The sequence below is a fragment of the Homo sapiens genome, chromosome 1 (genome assembly GCF_000001405.40).
Source record: "Homo sapiens chromosome 1, GRCh38.p14 Primary Assembly".
Lineage (NCBI taxonomy): Eukaryota > Metazoa > Chordata > Mammalia > Primates > Hominidae > Homo > Homo sapiens.
This window is the reverse complement of record NC_000001.11, coordinates 170,008,451-170,028,069: the sequence shown is the minus strand read 5'-3', so window position 1 is coordinate 170,028,069 and position 19,619 is coordinate 170,008,451. Positions and strand designations below refer to the sequence as shown.

The window sequence follows — 19,619 nt, the reverse complement described above, 5'->3', positions numbered from 1 at the left end:
TCTTTTTGAAATATTTTCACTGGGTTTAGAACTCTAGGTTGACAACTTTTTTTAATACTGTAAGGATGTTGCTCCACTGTTGCCTTGTTTGCATTGTTTTTGATGAGAAGTCTGCTGTCATGCTATCTTTGTCTATATATTAATATAAGGTCTCTTTTTCTTGGACTGCTTTTAAGATTGTCTCTTCATCATTCGTTTTGAGCAATTTATTATACCGGGCCTTGGTGTAATTTTTTTTTCTGTTTCTTGTTTTTAGAGTTTAGTGAGCTTATTGAAACTCTGGGTTTATAATTTTCACTAAATTTGGAAATGTTTCTGTTATTATTTTTTCAGGGACTTCAGTTAAACATATATTAGGCCACTCGAAGTTGTTCCACAGTTCTCTGATACTCTACATTTTTGTCATGTTTTTCTGTCTGTTTAATTTTGGATAGTTTCTGTGATTATGTCTTCAGTTTCACTAATCTTTTTTTCTTCTATCTCTAAACTGCTGTTAATTTCATCTAGTTTATAGTCTCAAGCATTGTAGTTTTCAGTGATAGAAGTTTGAATATTTTTTATTATATCTCCCTTGTCTCTACTTAACTTTTAGAAGATCTGGAATACAGTTATATGACATAATGTTCCGTTTTTATAATTAAACTCTAGGTCAATTCTTGGACAGTTGCAATTGGTTCATTTTTCTCTTCCTTGTGAGTTATATTCCCTGCTTCTTGTATGACTGAAAATCTTTGATTAGAAGCAAGACAGGGTCAGGCGCGGTGGTTCATGCCTGTAATCCCAGCACTTTGGGAGGCCAAGGCAGGCAGATCACCTGGGGTCAGGAGTTCGAGACCAGCCTGACCAACATGGTGAAACCCCATCTCTACTAAAAATACAAAATTAGCCAGGCGTTGGTGGTGGATGCCTATAATCCCAGCTACTCAGGAGGCTGAGGCAGGAGAATTGTTTGAACCCAGGAGGTGGAGGTTGCAGTGAGCCAAGGTCACGCATTGCATTCCAGCCTGGGCAACAAGAGCAAAACTCTGTCTCAAAAAAAAAAAAAAAAAAAAAAAGAAGCAAGACAGTGAAATTTACATTGTTGTAGGTGGACTTTTTTATTCCTAAAAATATCTTTGAGTTTTATTTGGGGACATAGTTAAATTACTTGGAAACAGTTTGATCCTTTTGGATCTTAATCTTATAATTTGTTAGTCTGGACAGAAGCAGCATTTAGTATAAAGCTAGTTATTTCCCACTACGGAGGTAAGACCCTTCTCAGGGCTCTACCCACTAATGCATGAATTATGGGATTGCCAGTATGGTTGGTAGAAGCAGGCATTATTTTCAGCTTTGTTCTTCTACTCCTCTCATTTTTTTCTGTCCCAGCCTCACTTAAATTCCTATGCTCCAATCAATACTCAACTCAGTATTTGAGGGAGACCTCTGTTAGAACTCCAGAGTTTCTCTCTGCTCAGCTCTTTCTTCTTCAGTACTCTTTTCTGTGAACTCTTTGGCGTCTCTGGATTCTTGGCTTCATCTCCTTAACTCAGGGATTCTATCAGGTTCTGCCTGGATTCTCCTTCACTGTTTTGTGACCTGGAAACTCTCAAGGCAATATTCTAGGGCAAACATAGGACTATCTCATTTATTTCTTATCTCTCAGGGATTACTGTCCTTCATTGTCTGGTGTCCACTATTGTGAAAATCTTTGTTTTGTGTATTTCAGTTAGATTTTTTTGTGGTGTTGTCAGGCAAAGGTTTAAAACCCCATCCTATTAATTTTCTGGGGTGCTATAACAAATTACCGTAAACCGGGTGGCTTAAAACAACAGAAATTTATTCTGTCATAGCTCTGGATGGGGGAAGGCCAAAGTCAAGGTATCATCAGGCCCACGTTCTCTCTGAAGGCTCTGGAAAAGAATCTTCTCTCGTCTCTTTCTAGCTTTTGGTGGGTCCCAGCAATTCTTGGTGCTTCTTGGCTTTTAGCTACATCACTCCAGTCTCTGCCTTTGTCTTCATATGGCCTTCTTCCCACTCTGTCGGTCTCTGTTATGTCACCTCCTCCTCTTCTTAAGACACCACTCATTGGATTCACGGTCCACCTTAATCCATTATTACCTCACCATAACCAATTACATCTGCAAAGACCCTATTTCCAAATAAGGCACATCCTGAGGTTCTGGGTGAACATAAATTTTAGAAGGACAGTATTCAACCGGCTACCTCTATCTTGGCTGTAAAGAGAAGTCTGTTTGTTTTTTCAATGTAATTCTAAAACCTTTTGACAGTGCCTTGCATAGAAAGTCAGCATAATGTAATAGTGTAAATATATGAGCTTTGGATTCTGATAGACTTGAATTTTAATTTAGCACTACCACTTTCTAGCTGTATGGTAGGGAAAGTTGTTTAATTTCTTTGAATCAGGGGTTTCCAATCTGTAAAATTTTTATAATACTTCTTTCCTCATAAAACTGTTTTAGAATTTAAACAGCCTTTATACATCAACAGGCCTGGCATACAATAGGTACTTAATAAGTGTGATTTAACTTTCCATCTCTAATATTTGTTAAATAAATAAATTTTATATTTATCTACTTATGTATATACATATGCATGTATTTCTTCTTTTCATAAGTGTTGAGAGGTAGTTTGCAAGAATACATGAAGTGAAATACTAAAACAATGAGGCCACAAGAGAGCAAAAAGACTATATTGACCATAAAAGCCTATATAATTCTTACAGAAATTGAACTCTGAAGCTCACTGTCAATCAAGGAAAAATGGAAAGCATTATCTATTAATATCATTTTCACTATAAAAAGCAAATGTTTCTTTTGAGAACCTAAGCATTTTTATTACACAAATCTGAAAGAAATTTTACTTAAAACTAGCAAACAATGGCTTCAACTCTGTCTAGTGCAATAATTGTATTACTGAATTTCATAAGGTCTTTTCTTATAGTGACTAACAGAAAATCAGTTTGCATATGAAAAGTTGATTTTAGTAGGCTCAAATTTAGCTGTAGCTATACTGTATATTTTGGATTATTGCACTTTTTAACACAGCAGACTTTAGTTATTAAAGTTTTATGATATGTTATCTTGTTTTCTATATGTGTAAAAACTATTTTCCTCTGTCTGCTTTATTTTTTCCTGACTTATCTACCTTTAATTGCCATTTGATTTCTATTAAACTCTAAGCTCCAAGAGGGCAGGAATCGTTGTTTTATTTTGGTTATTGTGTCCTTCTCAGCATTGTATGAATTATTTTATATGTGTGTTTTGTTTTAGATAACACACACACACAAACACATATCCCATTCAGTAACAATAAATGTTTTTTAATTAACCAATTATTAACCAGTTAAAATTTTCAAAATAATATATTACCTTTTTAGGGCTATCTCTGTTGCCTTGGTGAGTAGAAATGATTTTCTAAATTATTAATTCAGTATACTAATTCTTTATCTCTCATATATTTTACTTTTCTAGTTGCTCTTTATTTGCTTCTGAATCTTGCTGAGGATACTCGTACCGAACTGAAAATGAGGAACAAGAACATAGTTCACATGTTGGTGAAAGCCCTTGATCGGGACAATTTTGAGCTGCTAATTTTAGTTGTGTCATTCTTGAAGAAACTCAGCATTTTTATGGAGAATAAAAATGATATGGTAACTTACAAAGCTTTTTCTTGAAATAGTTCATTTTTGCCATTTTCAAGTTAGAATATTTTGAAAAAAATTAAACACTTTATTCCCCTACCGAGATAATTCTGAATAAAGATTTTATAATAGCAATAACTCACTGATATTGCTTCATTAAGAAATGTATTCCATATTAGTTAATATTCCAGGTGATTGAAGCTTTCTGAATAAAAATCATTTCTAATATATAGAATGGATCTTGCCATATTAAACATAATATATAGAAAGTTTGTTTAAATTTAAAATTTTACTTCAGAGTCACCTGGTCTTGTTGTTTTACCCTAAGCTATTTTGCCTTCTGCATCTCTGACTTTAGTTTGTGGAATTAAAATTTAGCCAGATCTCTTCATTGTTACCTACACTTCCACTTTGTTACCTACAATTCTTCTTTGTTACCTGCTGTTCTACTTGGCAGCCACAACCTGTTGATTGTTTCTTAAAAATCTCTTGAAACTGTAATATTTCTTCTTTTCATTCTAGTGCCATTGTATTAATTGATACCCTCTTTATTCATACCTTCTTTATTTCTTGCTTGAATTATTATACTAGGCTTTCATTTGCCATCTTTTACTGTGTTGATACAATGATCCTTGGAAAATACAAGTTGAGCATATATCATTTTCACCTGTGTAGAATATACATAGTATAGAAATATATAAAGATAAAATATAAATTCTCATCTGCTTTTTACCATGTCATTAAAAAGTCTTTGTTATGTACAATAATGTAGTCAATATATCATATATTAACCTACCTTGTTTTCAGATAACTGAGCTGTTTACAATTTTATCTATTACAAATAATTCTTCACTGCACATATTTGTACATACATATTTGTCTATATTTCTGCTTATTTTCTTGGAGCAGTTTCCTATAAATGAAGTTATTGGATTATTGACCTTAACTCCATTGAGGATAATTTTTAGAACTATGTATCATTATGTGGCTGTGTAGTACTGGCAAAAGTGGCTTCTCCTTTAGATAGTCTGAATGTATAGTATGTCTACCTACTCTATTTTATTTTAAAATCAAATGAACTAGGAAGTAGCTAATACTATAGTGAATGATATGGCAGGCCCTTTGAAAACCTGAGACTTATTTATCAGATTTAATAAGTACCTTGAATTATAATTATTGAATTTATGAAATTTTATTTTTCCCCTATATATTTAGTATCTGTCATTTTCATTATCAGTATATATTTATGTTCATGATGTGCCTGATATTATTTTGGGATTGAATATTCTTAGATTAATCAAACATGTTTTTTGTTTTCACTTATATCTAAGAAGAATATGATAAGATGGTAGTATATAAACAGTCCTGAGTAGTTAGAGTATGGCTAAATAATTGCTTCCCCTTGCTATAAGTTAAGGTATGTTCTTCCATTTATGTGGTCAAAGTAAGTTCACTTGTAGTAAGTTTTCAAAATTCAAAGTGATTTGTATCAGCATATATCTATTATGTATGTATTAGAGTTAGATTTAACTAATACAATTATGTGTTTATTCTATCAAAAAGATCTTGACTATTATTAAAAGTTATTTTCTGGTAAGATCATAGAATTGGAATATATGATATAAATTATCTCATTAAACCTCATTTTTTATTGAGGAAAAACTGAGGTTCAGAAAAGTTTGTTATTCTAAGATTAAGAGAAGTATTTGATTAGCCAGATTTTTACTAGAGATGATATGGATTTTACCTTTTATTGTGAAAGAAATACACTTTATTTAAGGACATCTGTAGAATCAAGATTTTTAGAATTTGACTGGACCTTAAATCCAAGGCCAGACTTAGTGAATCTAGCCTCCCAATTTCACAGATGAAGTAGGAGAGGACCAGAGACATTAATTTGCTTAAGGAAGCAAATTAGAGTATCTAGAGAGATACTCAACTTCCTACTCTTCTTCTTTGCCTCCTGGGAAAAATATCTTAGGTCTTTTTTTTTTAAAGACATTTTTAGTAAGATTAACAATAAGCAATTTTTAAATGTTAATTTCCAGAAACACTGAGAAAGGTGCAACTAAAGGCTGAAACAAACTTGCTGATAGATTGTTGGTAAAACCTCACTTTACATTGACTGTTTAATAAAAATACTAATAAGTTGTGTGTTATAGAAATAGACTTGAGGAGGGCTGGGCAGGATGACTAATGCCTGTAATCCCAGAACTTTGGGAGGCCAAGGCAGATCGATCATCTGAGGTCAGGAGTTCGAGACCAGCCTGCCAACATGGTGAAACCCCGTCTCTACTAAAAATACAAAAATTAGCTGGGCATGGTGGCACATGCTGGCTATCCCAGCTTTTTGGGAGGCTGAGGCAGGAGAATCACTTGAACCCAGGAGGTGGAAGTTGCAGTGAACTGAGATCATGCCACTGCACTCCAGCCTGGGCGACAGAGCAAGCCTCTGTCTCAAAAAAAAAAAAAAAAAAAAAAAAAAGAAAGAAAAGAAAGAAATAGACCTGAAGGCATTGCATGTTGAGGCAATTACTAAATTTAGCTCTCAGGTTTGGGTTTTTATCAACCAAAAAGACATGACTAGAAGGCTGTGTTAAATACTAGTCTAGTGTTTAAACATCTGATTGACTAATTGCACATATTTCACATTCTATTCTGTGCAATAGAAATACAAATTAATAACGGGCTGGGTGTGGTGGCTCACATCTGTAATTCCAGCACTTTGGGAGGCTAAGGCAGGTGGATCAGTTGAAGTCAGCAGTTCAAGACCAGCCTGGCCAATATGGTGAAACACCATCTCTACTAAAAATACAAAAACTAGCCAGGTGTGGTAGCACACACCTGTAATACCAGCTACTTAGGAGGCTGAGGCAGGAGAATTGCTTGAACCCAGGAGGTGGAGGTTGCATTGAGCGGAGATCATGTCACTGCACTCCAGCCTGGGTGACAGAGTGAGACCTCATCTCAAAAAAAAAAAAAAAAAAAAAAACTTAATAACAAACTCTCCAAGTTTTTTTTTATTAAGTTTTGCTGTAACAACCAGTGTATGCATACACTGTTTTTTTTCCAAAAGGAAAATACTACCTGATATAATTAGCAACAATTGAAGCTTGTGGCAGTTTTATTTATAAAAGGAATAAGGAGATGGCTGAGCTATTTGTGAGGTAGTATTATTTATTTAAATAAAGTGTTTATTTTACTCTTGATGTGAACTAATATCAGCCTGGCTTTTAGACAGTTTTTTAGAGGAACAACAGAGAGGATATATGTTGCGTAGTTTGCTTAATTTTCTTACTGCTAACTTTTGAGAGTTCTTCCTGTATTTGGATACAAGTTGTTTATCAGTTATATGTTTTGCAAGTATTTTCACTTTTCTGTGCCTTCTTTTCATTCTCCTATGAAAAGCAGAAGTCTTTAATTTTCATGAAGTCAGCATATAAAAAAAATTTAGTGGACTGTATTTGGGTGTCATATTTAAGAAATCTTTGTCTAACCCAAGTTCACAAAGATTTTTTCCTATGTTTTCTTCAAGTTTTATAGAGGTTTTTGTCATTGTCGTTTTAGTATATGATACATGAGTTAATTTTGTATATGGTACAAGATATGGACCAAGATTTATGTTTTTTAATATGGATGTCTAGTTGTTCCAGCACTATTTGTTGAAAAGATGCATTGAATTGCTTTTGTACCTTATTGAAATTGCCTTTGCACCTTATTGAAATTGCCTTTGCATGGATCACGAGGTCAGGAGATAGAGACCATCGTGACTAATACAGTGAAACCCCATCTCTACTAAAAAATACAAAAAATTATCCTGGCATGGTGGTGGGCACCTGTAGTCCCAGCTACTCGGGAGGCTGAGGCAGGAGAATGGCGTGAACCCTGGAGGCAGAGCTTGCAGTGAGCCAAGATCGTCGCTCCAGCCTGGGCGACAGAGCAAGACTCCGTCTCAAAAAAATAAAAAAGAAAATTTGGCCATATATGTTTGCCTCTATTTCTAGACTCTGGTTTCTGTTCCATTAATCTGTGTGTCTGTGCTTTCATTGATACCTCTTTCTCTTGATTACTATAGCCTCTTAGTAAGTATTGAAATCAAGCAGTAAGAGGCTGCCAATGTTGGTATTCTTTTTCAGAGTTATTCTATTCTGTATTTTTCCATGTACATTTTAAAATCATTGGGGTTGCATTGAATCTGTTGAGGGGATCAATATATTGACCATATTGGATTTTTCCAATCCATGAATATAGTATAGCTTTCTATTTATGTGGGTCTTTTTTTATTTCTTCCATCATTTATAGTTTAGCATATGTATTTTGTTAGATTTATACCTAAGTATTTTACCATTATAAGTGGCAGTTTAAAAAATTACCAGTTTCCTGGTTTTGGTTGATATTATATAGAAATATAATTGATTTTGCATATTGACCTTATGTCCTGTGACTTTCTAAACACACTTTTTAGTTGTACTGACTCTCTCACAGATTTTGGAGATTTTCTAAGTAGACAACTGTGTTATCTGCAAATAGAAAGTTTTGTTTCTTCCTTTCTAATCTGTATGATTTTTATTTCTTTTTCTTGCCTTATTGCACTGGGTATGCCCTCTAGTATGATGTTGAGGAGGAATCGTGTGAGCGGCTATCCCTGCCTTGTTACTGATCTTATGAGGAAAACAATGTCTTTCACTATTGAGCATGATGTTAACAGTGGGGTTTTTTAGATACTTGCTATCAGTTTAAGGAAGTTCTTCTATTTCTTGCTTGCTGAGACTTTTTATCATGAATGGATGTTAAATTTTGTGAAATGCCTTTCCTGTATCTATTACTGAGATAATCATATGGGTTTTTCGCATATTCGCAACAGTCTAAAGACTGTTGATATAGTGAGTTACATTGATTGACTTTTGAATGTTTACCAGTCTTGTATTGAGGGGATAAACATTACTTGGTCATGATATATTGCTCTTTTATATATATTGCTAAGTTTTATTAGCTAATTATTTTTGAGAATTTTTATGTTTATGAGGCATTATTCTATAGTTTTCTTTTCTCCTAATGTCTTGGTCTGGTTTTATTATTAGAGTAACTGTGTCCTCTATAATGAACTGGGAAGCATCCCTTCTTCTTTAATTTTTCTGGAAGGATTTGTGTAGAATTGGTATTATTTCTACATAAATGTTTAATAGAATTCACCAGTAAAAAGTCATGTAGGCCTGGAATTTTCTTTCTGTAAATTGGTTTAATAGATACAGGACTGTTTAGGTTGTTTCTTCTTGAGTGGTAGCTCTGTAGTTTGTCTTTCAAGGAATTTAATTCATTTGTATGTTAGCAGATGTAGGAGCATAAAATTTTTGGTACTGTTTCCTTTTTATCTCTGTCTGAAGGGCTGAAGTGATTTTCTCTGTTTTATTTCTGATATTGGTCATTTTTTTCTAGATTAGTGGTTTATCAGTTGCTTTGGTATTTTCAAAGAATCAGCTCTTATTTTGTGTTTGATTTTTGGAAGTCTTTGGCAATAGAATTATACTCTATAATGAACAGCTCTAGGGTATGACTACAGTGTGGCTGTGGAGTGTAGATAGAAGTCTGAAGGAAAAATCAGGTGTTAATTTGTCACTTTAGCAATTTAAAACAATTTGTGTTTATTCCTTGCATAGAGTGAAAGGAAAAAAGTATATCAAGGGCTCAGTTATTAATGTGATTTTTATGAGGTCAGTGAAAGATTGGAACAAAAATATGAAATGGGTGGTATAAATAAATATTTTAGATCTCCAATAAAAGAAAAAGTAGAGCAAGATTAATCATAAATCCTTTGATTAAATAATCAAAGGATTAATAATCCTTTGATTAAATTAAATTTAAAGGATTAAATTAAAATAATCCTTTGATTGAAAAATCATAAATTTTTTTCAAATTTCTTTTTTTGCCATTGCTTTGTAACTAAAAGACGTGAGATGTTTTTACAACCAAAGTTTTCCGATTGCTACCTTAAAAAATCTGAATGCAGAGCTTCTCTTACTAAATAAGTTGTGTCCTCTGTTACTATAAAGTAAGTTCTCTTAATGCAATTTTATAATCTTCTAGAGCAGGGGTTTGCAAACCTTTTCTTCAAAGGGCCAGATAGTCAATATTGTAGGTTTTGCAGGCCATATGATCTGTCTTGCAACTACTAACTCTGCTCTAGTTGTAGCGTGAAAGCAGCCATTGACAGCTGGTAAAAAAAATGAGCATGGCTTTGTTCCAGTAAATATTTATCAAACTGAAATTGGAATTTCATATGATTATTGTAGGTCATGAAATATCATTCTTCATTTGATTTTCGTTTCCAACCATTTAAAATTGTAAAAGTCAAAAGCCATTCTTAGCTCATAGGTTGAATGAAAACAGATAGCAGGCCAGATAGGCCCACTAGCCATAGTTTGCTGATCCCTGTCTTAAAGTTTCAACTATTGCTTTTAGTCTAGCTTCTCTCCTGAGTTGTATATGATTTTTAAATATTCACTGAGTACCATCTCAAATTAAATGACAAAAATTAAAATAATTTTTTGCCTTCATTGCCCTAAACCTCTTTTTCCATTTGTCAGTTAACAGAAAATACATCTACCTTATTGACCATACAGAAAAGGACTCTGAGACTGCTGTTTTTAAATAGGCCTTTTACAAGTTGGTGTTTAGTTAGTGTCAAGGACTTTGGATTTTAGGAGTATTCCTGGTCTAGGAACGCATCTGACCACATCACCTCCTGGACTTAAAATCTTTCAGAACACTTCACTGCCTGTGTAATAAAGTTAAACTTCTTAGTACAGCATTAAAAGCCTTTATGATTTTATGTAGATCTGTCTTATAGCCTTCTGCCAGTCTTCAACATGTACTTTATACTATGATTATACTAAATCACTTGCAATTCCCTAACAGGCTCTTTTATTCCTAAATGCCGATCCACTGGCTTTTTCCTCAACTTGTATTGCCATTGCCTTTCTGAACCAGAGAACAAATTCTTAGTCATTTTTTTTTTTTACTTTATTCCTAATTTGAAGTCTTCTGTTCTTCCAGGTGGGTTAGTAGTTCTCTCAATGCTGTTTTCAGAGCATTGTATTCATTCAGTTTTTATCACATTGTATTTTCATTATTCATTCTATTTGTCTACTCTTTTTTTTTTTTTTTTTTTTTTGAGACAGTCTCTCTCTCTGCCACCAGGCTGGAATGCAGTAGCATGATCTCGGCTCACTGCAACCTCTGTTTCCCGGGTTCAGGTCATTCTTCTGCCTTAGCCTCCCAAGTAGCTGGGACTACAGGTGCATGCCACCACAGCCAGCTAAGTTTTGTATTTTTAGTCGAGATGGGGTTTCACCACGCTGGCCAGGATGGCCTCAATCTCTTGACCTCGTGATCTGCCCGCCTCGGCCTCCCAAAGTGTTGGGATTACAGGCGTGAGCCACTGTGCCCAGCCTCATCTCCTTTTATACTGAGGAATCCTTGAAGGCCAAGGTGAGATCTTCTTTGCATAGGGCCTGGTACTTAGTAGGTGGTGTTCAATAATGCAGAGTGTTTTCAAGGATCAAATGTAATTTGTCTTCCAGTTGATGCAATTAAATGAGGGAAGGAGGGGATGATGTGGCATATATATTTTCTCCTCAAAAGTTTGATTTCAGGAAAGTTTACAGAATGAAATGGAGTATAAGATTAACATATAATTATAAAACAGATATACATTAGGGTAAAAACAAAGAAAAAATAATTATATTCTTTTTGTCCTATTTTGCAACAGAACTTCACTGTATTTGTATTATTATTTTACTTAGGTGGAAATGGATATTGTTGAAAAACTGGTGAAAATGATACCTTGTGAGCATGAAGACCTGCTGAATATCACCCTCCGACTTTTACTAAACCTATCCTTTGACACAGGACTGAGGAATAAGATGGTACAAGTTGGACTGCTTCCCAAGCTCACTGCACTCCTAGGTATGCTTTTTAGAAATTAATGACAGTGTTGTCTGGAATTTCCAACATCGCTGGAAAATTGAGCTCTGTGTTGAAAAGCCTCCTGAACAAAAAGCATTCTGTCTATATTCTTTGACTGGAAACTAAATAATAAAAATAAGCAGAGTAAGTAAAAAATGACCTGTACCAGGATTTCCATGGTGCTATGGAATGAAATAAAATAGCAACTTTTAACCCTTTGACTTCATTTATCCATACTAAGCCAAAAAGTAATGATGCAAGGAAAAATAAGGAAGCAAGAAGGAAAAAAATATTTTATCTTCAGGATTTTTCTTAAAAAAAACAACGCAGGTATCGTTTAAGTTCTTATATTCTGCTATACTTTCAAAATACTACTTAAAAATGAGCTAATTTGTGGAAACTTTTTGTTACTAAGTTAAAAAGGGTATATTTTTTTTAATAGAGATAGTCTCACCATATCACCCAGGCTGGTCTTGAACTCCTGGGCTCCAGTGATCCTCCCACCTCAGCCTCTAAAAAGGGTATTTTTTATAGCATGACTTAGAAAGTACTGTATTGGAGAATTCAGTTTATAAGTTATTTTGTTTTAGCTGCCAGCAAGATACCTGTCTATGACAAGGTGAGTTGAAGAGTTAACATTGTGCAGTCAACATAATGCTAACTTTCTTAGTAGGGCGTTAAATCTCTTTACAATCTATTCAATTTCCATCTTTATGGGCTCCTGCCAGTTCCCAGCATATACTTTACACCATGACCATACTGAAACACTTGCAGTTTCCTAAATAAGCTCTTTTATGCCTAAGTGCCTGTCTACCTGTTTTACCTGCTTTTTTCCTCTACCTGCAATGCATTGCCTTTCTTAACCAGAAAGTAAATTGTTACTTATGTCTTAACTCTTTGTTCCTTTGTTTCAGTACTGCAGTTTCATTCTTTTTAACAGCTTTCTCCATATATTCAATACTGCACAACAATGTTATTATACATTTTAGAAGTTACTCTATTAAGGAGCACTTTCAAAAATTGGTTTTGGAGAACCAAAGCAATGTAGACATTTGAGGAGGAATAAGGAAAACTTTAAGAGTAAAGTTGATTGGTCTTGAATTTAAATCATGTGACCTTTCACTTATTATAAATCTGACATAATTATGTGTCACCTATTAGGTCAGCTTCTCAATGTATGAAGATAAACAATTTACAGCCATTGGCCTGAAGGAATTCATAGTCTATTTGGTTTGTTCAGTTTCTAGTCATGTACTTTTATTAAATAATTGCCTTGTAACATATGATAAAATGTATGATTTAAAAGAGATTTTTAAGAAATCACTCATGTGATACCCACTTCATAATTTGTTAACAAGTGGAAAATTTTGGGATATAAGACATAATATCCAATGTATAAATTAATGTTTTATCTCCTTTGGAGCCCAGTTTCTTGAGCGAGACTGTTTTATTAGAACTGTGACTGTTTACATCTAACCATGTGACCTTGGGCAAGTTATGCAAACTCTTTGTTACTCAGTTTCCTCATCTCTTAAATGAGGGTAATAACTATATTCAACTTAGAGTTTTTGAAGATCAAATGAAGAATTGCCTGCAAAGTACCTGACACATTTTCTTAGTAAATATTGGCTACTGTTATTTTTCTAATCAACATCATCATCGTTATGAAGTAGACATTCTATAAATGTTGCTGACTTATGTTACTCTGAGTACAAATACGTTTCTCGTGTTACATTTTTGTTGACAAACCAGGTAATTTTTTTAAAAAAAATTTACTCTCTTGAATATGCATTTCAATTTATTTCAGTAAAATGTTGATACTCTACCATAGCAAAGCACAGCGCTAAGCACTATAGAGAAATGTTTTTCAACCTACAGATATATAGGGATTCAAAAGAGGATGTTCCTATATTGATACTTTATAGATAAGATTTCATTTGAAATGGATATTGAAAAAGTTGTCATTTTCATAGGGTGATATTTATAAAGTAAGAGTTGAGGCTATAGAAAGTAATTCAGATAAAGCAATAAACATTACCTAAGGCATAGCTAGAGCTAGGCCAGTAGGAGGAACAATAAGTTGCCATTTCAACTTGAGCATAGAATATGACTAAGAATAAGTGAAAGATAACATTTAGAAAAATGGATTTATGCTCTTAAGTGGTATTATGAAGTTTAAAGCATTGCTAAGAAGTTTGTACTTACAACTGATGGTGGGGATCATTGTAGACTTTTGAGCTCGGTAGGTTATAATCAGAAATCTGCTCAAGGGAAATTAATCTGATGTATTCTATTTGATGGACTCACATTAGAGTCTGAAGATGAGATCAGTAGCCTGCTGTAATAGGCAAGACAAGAAGTAAAGAAAACCTCGTTTAGAGAAGATGTAGTATGTCCAGTATGAGGCAAAAGGAAAGGGCAGAAGGGATATATCGTAGGTGAAATGAATGTTATAGTTACTGTTTGGATGTGGGTGATGATAGAAAAAGATGTCATAAAATCTATGACTATTAGAATGCTAGTACCAGGAACAGAAATAGAGAAGTGTGACGGAACAGGGATATGGAGAATTGCATGCTTTTCTTAAAGGCTTCCACTTTTGAAGTGACAAATTCATATTGCTACATTCTGTTGATAAAAGCAAATCACATCGCCATGCCTAACTTCAAGGGAGTGGACAAATGCTTGGAATGAGTAGAACTGGAACATTGATGAGCAAGAAAATTGATCCTGAAAGTTATTTTTGGGTTTTCAGGATTACCAGAATCTCTTAAATATCACGTCCTGACACATCGTAGCAAATCCTACAGGACGTAGTCCATCTGGCAACTGTGGTATTCCAGAGCACATTGATTAGAGCTAGGATTGTGGAGCCAGGCTATATGCCTTTGAATATTGGCTTCATCAGATACCAGTTATGTGGTATTATGCAATTACCTAAAATATACATATATATATGTATTTTATATATATATATATATATGTATGTCAGTTTTCTCATCTTCAGTATGTAGATAATAATAGTATATATGAATAGGGAAAAGTTAAATGAGATAATGCAATATTACAAAATTACAAATATGTGAAATTATCATCAAAAGAAATATACATAGAATCCCAAAACACTAGATATCTAGAAAGGATCTTTTTTGATAAGTTCTCCAGGCTTATATTATTAAGGGTGTTTAATCATTTCATACACAGTTATCTTAGGTCGTTCAGGTTTCTATAAGGGAATAGACTGGGTGACTTATAAACAACAGAAATTTATTACTCACAGTTCTGGAAGCTGTAAAGTTCAAGATCAAGGTGCCAACAGATGCAGGCTCTGGGGATGGCCTGCTTCCCGGTTCATAGACAGCTGTCTTCTCACCATGTCCTCACATGGCAGAAGGGGAAATGGAGCCTTTGAGGTGTCTTTTCTAAAGGCACTGTATGGTTTGGCTGTGTCCCCACCCAAATCTTACCTTGAATTGTAATAATCCCCACGTTTCAAGGGCCGGGCCAGGTGGTGATAATTGAATCATAGGGGCATTTTCCGCATAGTGTTCTCATGGTAGTGAATAAGTCTCACCAGATCTGATGTTTTTATAAATGGGAGTTCCCCTACACAAGCTCTTCTTGTCTGCCACCATGTAAGATGTAATTTTGCTCCTCATTTGCCTTCGGTCATGATTGTGAGGCCTCCCCAGTCTTTTTTTCTTTATAAATTACCCCGTCTTGGGTATGTCTGTATTAGCAGCATGCCAACAGACTGTCACAGGCACCAATCCCGTACATGATGGCTCTGCTTTCATGACGTAACCACCTCTCAAAGGACCCAGCCCCAAATATTATCACATTCAAGATTATGTTTCAACATAAGAATTTTGGGGGAACATAGACATTCAGTTTATAGCAGAATGTCTTTTAAAAATCAATTACATCTTTGTTTTCTAAAGTATTTTCTTAAATTTACTTTAATATCTTGAACGTAATTTTAAATTTTAGTGAGAAGCAGTATAGTGTAGTGGTTAAAAGCATGGGATTTGGAGCCAGAGTCCCTAGGTTCAAAGGCTATAATGTGTGTAGCTGTTATTGTTCTTACTATCATTTATTAAAGTTTGCAAGTCTGAAGATAATTTATTATACAGGGCCATAAATATTATTACCATGCCCAAGGATTTCTCCTTGCTAAATGGCCCCAGAACGCCATGTATTTTTCATTTTTATATACAATTTTTCTGTTTTTCCCCTGGCCTTGGCTGTCACTTCACATTTCTTCTGTACCAGCAGCATTTCTATAGCAGCAATTTTTCTTTTCTATAATAATCTATTTCTATTCTCTTGTGGTCTTGGAAACTGACAACTGAACTTATTTGAATTGTATATTTTTTAAAAAATGAATTACAAATGAGTTCCCCAAGGGTTCTATTCCTAGTAATGTTCTTGAGTTTTATTGTGTGGACCTTGTAACATTTCTTTTGACTCTGAAGAAACTGATTTTGCTTAATTGTATCTCTCTGCTGTGTTCAAAGAAATTGCATTTAGTGTATAATTGATTTCATGATATTACTAGAATGGTCATTTTTACATTTGTTAATATATATGTTACATGTGTAGACAATTAAATCATTAACTCCTAACACAGTAAGCTAAACTTCTCAATTGAGTAATTCAGTGATACATTTAACATATGTGGTCTTTGGCTACAATGCTTATACAAAAGATATAGTAAGGAAACTGTGTTATAAAGGACATGAATTTGAAAAGGACAAGAAAAATTTATTTAGAGCACTGACTTTCACACTTGTTTTACCTCAATCCGTAGTAAGATATATTTTTCCTAAGGTTAAAAAGTATATTATTTTAAATATGTATTTTACAGTGTAGCCCAACCCTCACATGTGTATGTAATGTGTATATGTTTATATACATGTATATTCACATGTCAATATATGTCTATATATTACATATTATATTTGATATATATTTAAACATTTGTTTAATATATGTAATTAAACAAAAATGTTCACAAAACAGTATTTACCTTTTCTATTTGCAATGGACACTTTGTATTTTACTGTATTCCCTTTTTTATGCTAGTTATTAGCTACTCATTGATTTGATCTTCCTGGTTGGTTTGATGAAAGATAGTGAACTAGAGGAGGTGGTTAGACTTGTTTTCCTTCAAACCTTCAGAAATATCACTGTTTCTGATGGATTTTTTTAAGTTTTATTTTTAGTTGATTTTTAATGTGTTAAATAGTAGACAATCTAAATTATTTTAGATTATTTTTTGGCAAATAACTGGAGTGATTTACATGGAATTAAAATTTAAAGAAATTCAATGGCAGAAACCTTCTGTAAATCAAATATTTAAAGTATTTGGGGTACATTTTCTTCACTGTGGAGAAAAGAATTTAAAAGTATGCAGTAGACATGAATGGTCAGTTTGCTTTTTTCTTCAGAAATAAACTCACTGTTTGATATATGTTCAAGTTGACAGTTGACTGAATTAAAGAATTACCTATTTCATATATAGAAATTACTTATTTTTTAAGAGGTGTAGAAGCCTCTCTGTGGAGCTAATGCACATGGTAGAACTTAGCATAAGTGATTTTTATGCTGTTTCAACTAGAAATGCTATCAGCTTTTAAGCAGGTTTTCTTTATTATAATTTGGGGACCCCCACAACAGAAAAATCTTTTTTATATTTAATGATAGATTATTTTCACTAGAGTACAATGAGTTGTGAATCTTTCATGCTCTAATAAATCTATGCAATATGAACAGTTAATCTGCTTCTCAGTTTCCTGAAACATTTAACTAGTACATTGCGACCCCTGCTGTTGTGAGATTGGTGTTAATGACTGAATAACTTCACTCAAAGTTTACTTGGAAAACAAACTGAAAAAAATATATAAAATTAAGGTTCTGTGATTTGAATAATTAAAGGCAAAGGAGAAATTGTGTTATAGCTCAGCCCTTTTTCCATGGAAGGCTCTAAGGGAAACTGTAATTCAATAGAACCAAAAATTATTTTAATATTGTTTTGTCACATAAAGCATTTCATTTAAGAATTTTGATTTTAGCTTTTTCTATTAACACCAGAGACACAAAAAGGGATTTGTAAAGAATATTATAAATAATTATTTTAAATTTTCTATCTCATGCTGAAATTGTTTGAGTAGTTTTGATCTTTCCCTAAGAGTGCAGAAAATCTAAAATTTTAATTGGTTCCATGGAAAACCTTATATATGAATATTCCTTTGTTTTCCTTCTCTTAAATATTGCCAAATTTATTCGTTTCTTATTTTTTAATGTTATTTTCCTGAGATTTCATAAGGATACTAAATTTATTTCTGCTTAGTTCAGTATCAGTTATAAATCATTTCAGTTCTATCATTCCTATACTTTGACAGATAGTTTCTTATGTCTGGTAACTTAATGCTACCATCTGGGAGATCTATCATAGCCATTGGCTTCAGCAAATGTGATTATCTGCAAATTGAATTGGACTTACAAAACTTGGCTTTACTTAATTGTTAGATGCAGTCTTTTTGGGGATTTTTATAGTGTTACGTTTTTAAAAGTGTTTAAAGATTTTTTTGGCTTATCCAAGAATCAGATCTTCAAAAAAATTTTTTTCCTTGTCAAAACTTATTAAGCCATTTGACATTGATATGTCTCAAGGGTGCTTCCTTACGTCAGACTATCCTGGGTTGGAAGATGGCAAGGAAATTCCTTGTCATAGTGTATTCTTCAGTACCCTAGAATATGTACTGATAGTGTTTCAAAAGTAACTTGAAAAGTTAAATTTTCCTAGCTTTTTGTCTGATGCATCATGCATATATTTTGTTGCACCTCTCATTTGCTTTGGTTTAGAGATTTCATAAGCTGAGGATTGTTTGATATGCTTGAGGATGGTTTTAGCACAAGAGCAAGCATAAAATACGCAATTGAAATGTGTTCTTTGGAAGGGCCTTCATTCTTGGATAAAAGTTAAACATCACATAGTGACAGATGGCAGTGTTTTACAGAGTGCATACATAATAATAATAATAATAAAAGTGGCATTTCACTGGTGAACTCTTTTGGACAATTCTGAATTTTTGAGTTTATTCACACTTTTTTTTCTGTTGTGTGTGATATTATTGTACATTTTAAATTAAGTAATGTTCCAAATTTTTATGTCAGCTTTTAAAATATTAACTAAAGTTTTTTTAATTATAGTGTAAGTTCTGGGATACATATGCAGAATGTGCAGGTTTGTTACATAGGTATACATGTGCCATGGTGGTTTGCTGCACCCATCAACCCATCATCTACATTAGGTATTTCTCCTAATGCTATTCCTGCCCCTTCCCCCCACCACCCGACAGGTCCTGGTGTGTGATGTCCATGTGTTCTCAGTGTTCACCTCCCACTTATGAGTGAGAACATGCGGTGTTTGATTTTCTGTTCCTGTGTTAGTTTGCTGAGAATGATGGTTTCCAGCTTCATCCATGTCCCTGCAAAGGACATGATCTCATCCTTTTTTATGGCTGCATAGTATTCCATGTTGTATATGCACCACATTTTCTTTATCCAGTCTATCATTGATGGGCATTTGGGTTGGTTCCATGTCTTTGCTATTGTGAATGGTGCTGCAGTAAACATATGTGTGCATGTGTCTTTATACTAGCATGATTTATAATCCTTTGGGTATACCCAGTAATGGGATTGCTGGTTCAAATGCTATTTCTGGTTCTGGATCTTTGAGGAATCGCCACACTGTCTTCCACAATGGTTGAACTAATTTACACTTCCACCAACAGTGTAAAAGCGTTCCTATTTCTCCACATCCTCTCCAGCATCTGTTGTTTCCTGACTTTTTAATGATCATCATTCTAACTGGCATAAGATGATATCTCATTGTGGTTTTGATTTGCATTTCTCTAATGACCAGTGATGATGAGCTTTTTTTCATATGTTTGTTGGCTGCATAAATGTCTTCTTTTGAGAAGTGTCTATTCATATCTTTCTCCCA

The 19,619-nt window shown here is 33.7% G+C and overlaps 1 protein-coding gene across 10 annotated transcripts in view; it reads left to right on the top strand.

Moving 5' to 3' along the window:
* The window catches only part of KIFAP3 (kinesin associated protein 3), a 163,856-nt gene that overhangs the window by 57,115 nt on the left and 87,122 nt on the right, over window positions 1-19,619 (top strand). For all 10 annotated transcript variants that reach the window (XM_024454186.2, NM_001204516.2, NM_014970.4 and 7 more), the window contains 2 exons: window positions 3,474-3,652; window positions 11,446-11,608. In XM_024454186.2, the coding sequence (XP_024309954.1) occupies window positions 3,474-3,652; window positions 11,446-11,608 (342 nt within the window). The remainder of the gene's footprint in view (window positions 1-3,473; window positions 3,653-11,445; window positions 11,609-19,619) is intronic.